Source organism: Homo sapiens, chromosome 5 (assembly GCF_000001405.40).
Source record: "Homo sapiens chromosome 5, GRCh38.p14 Primary Assembly".
Taxonomy (NCBI): Eukaryota; Metazoa; Chordata; class Mammalia; order Primates; family Hominidae; genus Homo; species Homo sapiens.
This window is the reverse complement of record NC_000005.10, coordinates 166,222,810-166,233,971: the sequence shown is the minus strand read 5'-3', so window position 1 is coordinate 166,233,971 and position 11,162 is coordinate 166,222,810. Positions and strand designations below refer to the sequence as shown.

The 11,162-nt window shown below is 34.9% G+C and overlaps 1 long non-coding RNA gene across 1 annotated transcript; it reads left to right on the top strand.

Moving 5' to 3' along the window:
- The first annotated feature begins 1,073 nt into the window (after nt 1-1,073).
- Nucleotides 1,074-3,828, top strand: LOC105377705 (uncharacterized). The gene is made up of 3 exons (XR_941181.4): nt 1,074-1,158; nt 2,996-3,091; nt 3,752-3,828. It is a non-coding gene; the product is annotated as an uncharacterized LOC105377705 (long non-coding RNA).
- The last annotated feature ends 7,334 nt before the right edge of the window (nt 3,829-11,162 follow it).

Here is an 11,162-nt window from a genome sequence, read left to right as displayed (position 1 = left end):
AAATTAACTGAAATGTACCATCTAAGCCTTCCCTTGGAAGTTGCAAGCCTTCAACAGACTCCAGAGTTTCAAAATATTTACATCAGACTGATTCTGCCAGTGCAATTTTTGTGTAGGTAGGGAGACAGACTTCTAGTGCTCCCTACTCTCGTCAGAAGCCTTCTTGTCAGAAGCCTTCCATCCATGCTTTATTAACCACAGGATAAAATAATATAGTAGATGGGATTGTATTGTGAAAAAATTAAGAGAATTGGAGGAAGGCAAATTATTATGTATAAAAAAGTAACTTAAAAATCATTATTTTCTCCAAAGTACCTGGTGACTTTATAGTGAGGTATAATTTACACAGAGTGAATGCATAGATCTTAAGAACACAATCAATTTTAACAAATATATACACCAGTAACCTACATGCCTGTTAAGATATAGGGCATTTCCTTTATTCTAGAAATATTTCTCATGCTTCTTCACACCCAGTTCACTCCCCTCACTCAAAGCAAGAACTCTTCTGATTTTCATCACCATTGATTTGCTTTGCAGGTTCTAGAACTTTGAAGAAGTGGAAGTATAGAATACATGGCCTATTGAGCCTGAATTCTGTCCTTCAACATAACCAATGTAGATCTCTGAGATTAACCAATGTAGATCTTTGTCCCCCTTTTTACTCCCATGTAGTATTCCATTATAAATAAACGTACCCTTTATTCAATAATCTATCCTTTTCTAGTTAGACAAGAGAGAGGATTGTTTCTAGGTTGTAGCTCTTACTAGTAAGGCTGCCGTGAATATCCTTGTACAAGGCTTTTGTGGACATATATTTTTGTTTCTCTGAGATGCATACCTAGAAACATCATGCAACTTTACAAGAATCTAATTTAAGCATGGACCCTAAGAGTGATTTCCTCAAGTGTCATGGCTATTTTAATATTCAACCTAGAGGAATTCCAATATTATTTTCTAAGAATCTGCACCCCATAGTGAAGATGGCCTCTTCTGCCAAAGGAGGACCTATGTTGCCAAAGAACATCAGTATAATCTTCATCAAGTTGCCGCTTTCCTTCCTCTGAGCTCTCTCTATGTGACTGAAAACAATAAGAAAATGCCTAGAAGTCAGGCCTAGAACATTAAATGGTAATAGACTCCAAACAACAGCAGAAGGTAGAGTTGATTAAAATGTATCTTTGGGGCAAGAGTAGAAATGATTGTGTGTGTGTGTGTGTGTGTGTGTGTGTGTGTGTATTTGTGGACAATTTCCTTTTACTTATTCCTAATGGTTCTGAAATTTAATGGATTAATGGAAATTAAAGTATGAAAATCAATTTGATGCATTACAAAAATATCACATTAAATTTCCTTCTATAAAAACACAATACCACAAATTATCAACGATAAAAACAGTACTAGCACTCTTATTTCTATATAGGTTAAAAAATAGGAAAAAAAAAAAACAACTTTCCCCTTAATCATTTTATTTAGAAACCTGTGAAATAGCCTATGGCCTGATGAGTTAAAAATTTTTAAAAGAATGCCTTTCTCAGCCTTGTCCTCTATGTCAGGGGTTTGACTGTGTAACTCAGAGGCTGAATATATTATTTTAGTTTACCCAATCATCACTTTTCTTGTTAAGTTGCAAGTTACCTTTAAAATGTCAAATATCAAATTTAGTTATATACTTTTTTTCCACTCCACGAGATGAAGCATTATCATTCCATGCATCAAAATATTTCCAAGTGATGTGATTTCACCTGTAGAATTTCTGACTAACTGGGGTTTGGTATCCAGGGCTATAGTATTATTATTAGTGAACAAGCTAAAGAGCAACATACAATACGTAGTGCAAAACAGGGTTCCCTCATTGTGAAATCAGTGCAGCCCCTCTGTTACAGGCAACGTTTATGCAACAAAAGGAGTGTTTCAATAAATGTCCAAACTAAGCCAGGAGAACAATCTGGGAGATGATGATAATGAAATCTTCATATTATTGGTTAAACACAGGCATAGAGGAAAAGGACAACAGTCCAATTACTTAGTATACCAAAGGACTTTTCTTTAAAGAGATAACCTATGGATCAGAATTCCCTGTAGTTACTGGCAGAATATAAAATAGTACTTTTGACCTTGAGGAGTTACAAGCTGGCCTGTCAACAGGAAACCAGAAATCTAACTTTCAAGTGATTGTAAAGTGTCAGCAAATATCAACTTCTCTCACCACTGAATAGAAAGGGATAAAAAGGGTGAGAGAAAGGACTTGCATCTGTCACTTCATTAGTAATAAAGAACTTGGTTTTTACTCAGCTGAACTTCATATCTAATGCTTATTTCTGGTTAACATGATTCTATTCCTAAACATGTCTTCCCATTACTAAATGTTCAGCAGTTTGCTCTTCAAGGTTAAAATAATGAGACATAGAATGCGTATTCCTTTGGCAGAGGATGAGCAGTTTCAACACAAAGTGCTACTAAAATTAAAATGTTTACATATGCATTTAAGAGCTATATGCTACCAGGATTTACTACATATCTGAAGTTTGGGGAAAATACTCTTTGAAAATACACAAGAAGGCCGGGCATAGTGGCTCACGCCTGTAATCCCAGCACTTTGGGAGGCCAAGGCAGGCAGATCATGAGGTCAAGAGATCGAGACCATCCTGGCCAACATGGTGAAACCCCCGACTCTACTAAAAATGCAAAAATTAGCTGAGCATGGTGGCGAGCACCTGCAGTCCCAGCTACTTGGGAGGCTGAGGCAGGAGAATCGCTTGAACCTGGGAGGCGGAGGCTGTAGTGAGCCAAGATTGCGCCACTGCACTCCAGCCTGGTGACAGAGCAAGACTCCGTCCCAAAAAAAAAAAAAAATTAAAAATAAAAAAGGAAAGAAAATACCAATAAAATTAGGCAACGAGTAACGTACTTTTGAAAATTCAAAACCTTTTTATTTCTAAATTAAGGTTCAAAACAGATCCCACCTCATTTATTTTGCTGCTTTATTTTGTAGTCCAAGATTGGGCAACTGATATTCAGTCCCATGCACTACTTGAGCCAGTCTTGACTGAAACAGGAATCACATCAAAAGATGAGGCAACACAATCAGGTGGGTTTCAAAATCAAGTTTCATTTCTTATGCCTATGACTTGGGCTCTCATTTCAGTTCCTTTCAGACAAATCAGATCCAAAACTTAAAGCTTAAACAGCAAGGACTGAGTTTTATTTGCTCCCTAATATCTCTCATTGTTATTTCCCACTTAACAGAACTGGCTTTCTAGAACCATGGAAGGCTGGAAGTAAAGCTGGGCTCTAACTCTCTTCCCTCCCCCAGGGGAACATGTGGCCTTATCACTCCTGATTGTTTTAAGAATGGTGTGCTGGAGCAGGCCCAAACTAGCGCATTATTTTGTCAAATCTTCAGGAATTCTGCAAACTTATTCAACATAGCCATTATTAAAAATTAAATTATATAAATATACAATGGAATTAATTATGTGAAAAACAGAAGTAGTAAATACTCAAAGGTCAACAGCTTCAGTATTCTTTTCCAAAAGCCACAGCTATACATTACCACAAAGTTACCACAAGTTTTGTAGGTTGGAAGTCTGAAGTCAAATTGTTCCCAGGCTCTCTCTGAATGCTCAGGAAGGGGGAAAGGGGGAGGAAATTCCTCCTTGCTTTTTCCAATTTCTGGTGATTGCCGGTAATCCTTGGCATCCCTTGGTTTGTGCCAGTATAGCTTCAATTTCTGCCTCTGTCTTCACAGGGCCTTCCGTGTGTCTCTTCTCTGTCATCAAATCTTTCTCTCCACTGAAATTGGGACTCACCATTATCCAGTATGACCTCATCTTAACTTCATTACGTTTGCAAAGACCCTATTTCCAAATAAAGTCCACATTCACAGGTACCAAAGGTTTTAGAATTTCAACATATCTTTTTTGAGAGAGACAATTCAATCTACAACTTCATAACTTAAGTAAAATTTACCACATTTTACTCTTATGTTCTTGGACTTGCTTACCGCCCCCTTGCATGGGTATGGCGTAAATTCCATCCAATGATGTGCTACTGAGCATTTCTCCCCAACTCTATACTTAGCTGTTATCGTTAGTCATATTGCATTGATAACTTGAAAACAGAGTGGAAATGTTTATACTATGGAAACCAGCAAACACCACAAATCAAGGCTCAATTTATTATTTTGACTGAAAATACAAATCTCCTCTATAGGGCCAGAGAATAAATATTTATACTTTGTGCACCATATGTTTTCTGCAGCAACTACTCAACTCTGTGGTTCTAACATAAAAGTAGACACGGACAATACACAAACAAATAAGCTAGTAGTACTCCATCAAACTTTATTTAGAAAGACAGGTGGTAGGCCAGATTTACCCTGTGGGCTGTAGTTGGTGACCCTTAGTCTAGGGTTAAGAAAGTAATGGAGAAAATATTAAAAATATAGATAAATTTCAAACTCATGTCAGTAGCTGTAACATTATTAATAGTACAAACAAAATTAAGAAATATTATCTTAGTGCTTGAAAACAATTATTTGAATCAGCAAAGAAGTTGGCCATTGGTGAATTAGTGACGTTCCAATATATTTATTGTTTTGTCTTATGAATGTAAATTAAAATACCAATATTCATGTCAGAATGTGCTGTAGTAGTTGATCAATTATTACCAGCACATTGGCAATAAATACCAGAGTTTGACAAAAATCAAGGGAACAGTCTTCAAAAATCAATTGGCTGTGTAAAATTTACAATAAAGAATATCACATATTTTGTTACTATTTGTAACTTGTGTCCTATGTATTATAACATTTATGCTAAACTTATGTATCCATATATGTGCATACTTTTTTTTCTGGAGAGTCATTTGTTAAACATTTCTTAGCACATTGCTGCCCAAACCACTAACATTTGTCATAATTCCTGCAAATGCCAGTATTCATATTGGCAATGTAAACTCTGATAGGATACTGATATGAACCAAAAATGTAAAAAGAGAGTGAAGTAGCAGAATCTTTTACCACTTCCTAAGATTGGTAAGAGCTGTACCTCTCAAAGACAAGTTCTATCAGCATTAATATATATGTGATTAGGAAATTAGAGCCCAGAGAAAGCTTCACACATAAATCTGCTTCCTTTTCAGGATTAAACTTGAGACTTTTATTAGATTGTGATCTCTTTCTGCAAATTCATGTAAAACACAATACCTACCCAAAAGAAGAGACTTAAAGGTGCAATGACCACCTAAGTTACATCTGAATTCGTGACGTTTTTGGTACAGATGGTTTGGACCTTGTCTTGCTGCCTTCATTAGGGCAAGCCAGGCTGGATTGTTTCTTTTTTGCTTTTCAAAGGGCATTGACTTATTTGTATACTTAGCCCAAGCTTCATTTCTTTATATGTAAAATAAAGATTGTCAAGGGAGCACTATAAATATTAGAGAATTTGCACTATAAATATTAGAGAATTAAAGCAAGGAAAACAAAGACAATGCTTATTACATAAGTGCCCAGTAAATACATGCTATAACAATTGCTCCCATGAATTCTGCTATTACTAACATAAATATTAATTTTTCTAGGAGGTCTCAGTTTTCTGAGAATCCAAGTATCCTATGTCAGTTGCTATAGATAGGTAGAAATGACATCTATAATATGAAATATAAATAATACAATTTTTGTTCATTTTTCCTAAAGACATTCCAATGTATAAGCAACATGACTTTTTCTTGTGGTATCATGGCATAAAATATCTCATGGCAGAAACTATTTTGGTCTCACATAATTATGTCCATTCATCCAAGTACCTACTCTGGCCAATGTCAGTAGGTAGAAATGCATGTTGAATTCCATCTCATGGAGATCACTGCCTGTAAAATCAAGCCATCAGCGAAGAAGTGGTTATGGCATGATCATTTTTACATTGTGTGACACGTTCCTGTTGTACTGTCAACAAACATAAACTTTACTCTCCACAAGGAGAGTTTCTGTAAACTGTATGTCACACTAATGCTTTTATTTTGCATGCTTCTTTTCCTCAGAGAAATTCCTTTTACCTTTATTTCTTTACTACGATTCTAATTCATTTCTGACTGACACGCTGACAAATCTATTCAATTTCTTTATATTATTGTACAGCCATTGATTATTCAACATACTTGAGCTCCCTATTTTTCTTTTTTAAAATAAATACTGCTCCTATTGTCTGCACAGAGATGGCTTTGAATATGCATTTAAGTTCAAAAGGGAAGTAGATGTCCCCTATATTAGGCTTGCCATGTCTAATTTGAAATTTATAGCTTGACTTTGCACAGTTAATTGAAATCATTTCCTCATCATCAAAAATATCCTTTAGAATTTAACATTTATCAGAATCAATAAAGTGTGGTTTTAAAGACAAGTTTGGCATATCTGTCTATACATAATAACTGAACACAATATTGCCATACCAATGGTGTCTTAAGGTCAATTTAAGCCAGGTCAGACCAATGGAAAATCGGTCTAATCACAGTGGGAAAGAAAGAGTGACACTTTACTAGGTGGTTGGATAACATGCTATCTGTACTATCTCTTTTCTCCAAACTCTTTATTTCTTTCATCCTAAAGACGTTCCACACTCTGTTCCTCAAGGCCACATTACAATTCTCCATTCATCTTGACTTCTGATTAATTTATAAGCATTGTTCTTTCTGCCACTTGGCTCCCTGCAGGCATTCATATTCTAACTCATCAATGCTTAGTTTCCTTTCCTGCTTAAATGGGACCATAATGCGTAGGGAGACAAGGATATATTCAGAATTGCCTTCTATTTGAAACAATGGATCTATCTCTTTCTCATCATCTTTGAGGGCAGGGACCTCACTCACCTAAGCCTCTGCACAGTTTTAGACACATAATTGGTACTAAGCTTGTATTTGTTGACCAACAAAATTAATGAAATCCCATAAAGGTGCCGATTTATACTTTAATTTCTTATGTTCTATCACCATAATTTAAAAAAATGTTCTTGAAGGGCTCAACTTGCTTTCTATTTTGCTAAGACCATTCTTCCTAGCGTCTACATTTGCTTCTGAAATTGGTTCCTTCCTTGCTGAAGTGTCACCCCTGGTGATTATAAACTTTGGTGTATGTCATTCATAGATCAATATTTTATAAACTGAAAAATTGAAAACTTTGATTCATGACATCACTTCACTAATGTTTTAAAATATATCCCAGTTCAGTATTATAACAAAAATGAAAGCAAAACAAACTTAAGTAGCCTTTGTTTTATACACCTGTTTAAGCCAGGTTGGATAAAACAAAGTTAATTTTTCAGTGAGCCTTGCAAACTACATTTAAAAAAAAAAATGCACAGATCTGACCCATCACATGAAAAGGCAAAAAAATTACAATGGACAATTGTGTTGATGACCATTCTATGGCCAAATAAATCAAGTATGACAGCATTACATGCTTCTGACATGATTCTTAGTTATTTCTAGGCTTAACACTATCTTGCACGTTTTATTTTCCATGTGTGGCAAGAAAGAAGTGCAAACATTCCAAATTCAGTAATCACATTGGTATCTCAATAGTTTGTTCATTTATTATAGATAGATAGGTATGCATACTTGTCTTCAGAACCACACACTCATGCACTCTCCATTACCTCCTTTATTTTAAAAACCTGGGAACAAGTGTCGAATTTATGTTTAAAAATGTCCAGCAATCCAACACAAGTTAATACTTTTATTATTGATATTCCTTTAGTTTTTTAAATCGTCATTGATTGATTAGTTTATCTTTTTATTGTTGTTCTGTTTTACCTTCTCATACTGAGTTTCCAATAACTGTTAGATGACAGAACTGCTGCAAAATGGGTATCTTACCCTATTTTGGCCTGAATCCATCAATGTTGCACATATACCAAATCAAGGCATAAGTAACTCTGTTCTTCACGTTCTGTAATAGCATAAGGCAGCATCATATTTGTTGGTGTTTAGTGTCCTTTAACTGTTATAACTAATGGAGACTCTCTTCTCGGAAATTGAGTGGGGAAGGCATTCCTGTAGAGTGTGCCATTTCCAGACAATGTTCTCTTAATTTTTTAATGCAACTATTATTGTGATTTATAATTGCATCAGAGGTTCTTCATAACCTTTTTCAGGATATGTTTGTTGTTATTAGTGAAATCCTTAAGTCTTTGGAAGAGATGTTTTACAACCCTATTTAATAATATAACACTTTCCTGAAAAATGGTGCAATCTTATAACTTATTTTAACAGATCAGATTTATACCTGCCAACTTTAAAGAGCTTCCTAAACTTAAAGAGCCCGACGTTGGGGGCATGTTGAATTTGAGGGGATTTATTTTATTATGCAGATTTGGAAAAAATACAAAATATCTATTGTTTTATATATCGTAATTCTGAACTGTTTCCTACATCAGAGGATTCACAAGTTACTGCCTATGATATGGTTTAAAGACATTGGTAAATTGTTGAAGTTCTTTCTTATATCATCATATTTGGATTAAAATTGTCTGCTAATTAATGAATTCTAACTGGGTGGAGCATATCAAAATGTGTTTTCTATATCTATTGTATCAGCTTGAGTTAACAAAGACTAGTAGCTATCTGGGAGAAGGCAGAAATATTTTATTAATAGGAAAAATATGTTCAAACTACATTGGAGCTCCAGCATTACAAAATCTTTTAAATAGGAAATTCAGCAGAAGGAGTCTCTATTGGACTATGTCTGTAAGGTCTATTATCCAAGGTACTGGAAGGAGCTTGCTATGAATACATTTCAGTCTTGTAGTATGCATCTTGAGAATAGTGGATTAGTAAGGCTCCAGCATATGAATTATATATGCCTCTTGATAGTGTATCAGCACAATAATTGTTAAGACAGAATTTCAATAAATTCCTCCTCTTACTCTTCCCCAAATTCCTCAAAAGCAGGTTTTGGTTATGGTAAAGTTTTGGCCATTATTTCTTATGTATTCAAAAAGTTAGGGAGAAAAGAAAAATCAACGCAAAGAAATACATTTAACAAAGTTAAATATTAGTTTAGAATTAGATACTTATTTATGTATATTTTTTAAATTATTAGATGCCAGAGGTAGAGCTTAAAAAAAGTTTTGGCTAGAATTTAGAATCTGTCACTCTAATATTTATTCAATGTATACAGAACAAGTTCATGAGTAATCTGAAAGTCAACAATGGAAGCGGGAGGGTCTACTGAATTACTTCTGGAATAACACAAAGAAAATGTAAGGGAATCAAACCAGATAGATACCACTGGGCACAGAGATGTTAGAATTTGTGGCCAACATAATGATTTTATTTTATTTTTTAATAAAGCACCTGGGAATTATCCCTATGGTAATAGGAACTTAAAAGGTAGGGTAATGAATCCAGGTGAACTAATCAAGTCATAACATCAATTATCAGAAAACCTCTCAGACTCTGAATTTATATATATTCTGTTACAAAATAATAAAAACAGGGCATAAATTATTGAAGGTGTTTCATGCTAGAAGCAACATCAGACTTTATAATATTTGGAAACAATTTCTAATTTCGGGATTATAGATGTCAGCAAGTATTCATTCCAGCTACATGCAAAAAAACCCCAAACACACTACTTTGTGTCCACATTCTAGCAAAAAGCTGTTCTGGCAAAGAAAACATGACTATAGGACATGAAAAATTATCTTAGAAGAGCAGAAAAGTATCAATACATATCAGCAAGTTCTTTCTTGTGTTTTTTTTTAAGATAGAGTAAGCATTAATCATGGAATTTTGAAAGGAATGAAGAAGAAAGTGGGAAGAAAGGTAGGACAGAAGAAAGGAAAGAGAATATCCACTAAAGCTATAATGAACATCACAAAACCCTAAGGTTTTGTTAATGTTACCCTCTCAAATTTTCTGGAATATTTGCAGGTTAATAGGATGATCTCTATATTGGTAATTCGTGGGGGCACATAAATAATCAGCTATTATATATACTATTTAGGTATTTTATAAAATTCTTATTAAATTCAGACCTTGGGTGAAATCATCCAGAAACTGATATTCCAGCAAAATATTACTTAAATGTCTTTAGACAATAGGATGTGAATTTTCAGCTTTGACATATTAATGTCAGCCAAAATATACCCTTTTAAAAACCCTTCTGCTTCTTTCTGCCCCCTAAAGTATCTGAATTGAAGTTGTAGACTCTCTTAGTGTTTACTCCAGGCTAATTATGCGTGGTGGCCATGTCTCATATTGGCATCCCATGTTACACAATTTACAATATACTACTTAATTTACTATCTGATTAGATTGTTTTGTTGTGTAGGGAGACTCACATGGAACATATTTCATTATCTTAGCTCCGAGAAGAACACTGTGGAGATTGAAATGGGTTTAAATTGGCATGCCTCACATTATGCTAGGTTTCAAAAAGACAGAGCCCAGGTGCTTTTAGCTAAATCAGACAAACGAACTTGCCAAAATTCTCCAATATACCATTCCTTGGCTACACTTGAATATAGTCCTATATAGAGGCCGCCTCCTTAGCTGGAAAGAAGGGACATTTTGAGAGATAAGAGATTAAGAGGAGATTAAGAAAATTCAATCATTGCTGCAAAAACAGAATAAGAAATTCCATCTTCACAATATCATAAGCGAAGCTATTTATATCTAGCATTCACTGCAGCATTTCCTCAGGTTTCAAACTCTCTTACAAAACATTTGTACAGTTTCTACATCTTTCTCGGATGTCCTATGGTTTTCCTCTCAACAAACACCACAGGCAGAAGAGAACCACTTGTGGCTTCCCGCATACTCTGTTCCATGGCCTGTCTGACTTATTGCATAAACTTAGGCTTTCCTCTGTGAGTCCCTTTAGCAGAAATTCAAAGCTTTCTTTAAATTTCATCACATGTGCTGGTGGCTACTCACATACATAATCCCTACATGTAACTAGTGGTGTAGGAAAGGGAGGCCACAGGCTTTGTATTTTATGAGGTAAGCAGAAAAAATACATATGCCATCTAGAAAACTGCTTCTAGCATTCATTATAGAATTGGCACAACTTGTTTGCAGAAAATAAACATGCACACAGAATAATAACAATAGGTAGAAATAAAAGGGGAGACTTTGAGAGCTCTGAAGCTGATAGTAAGAAG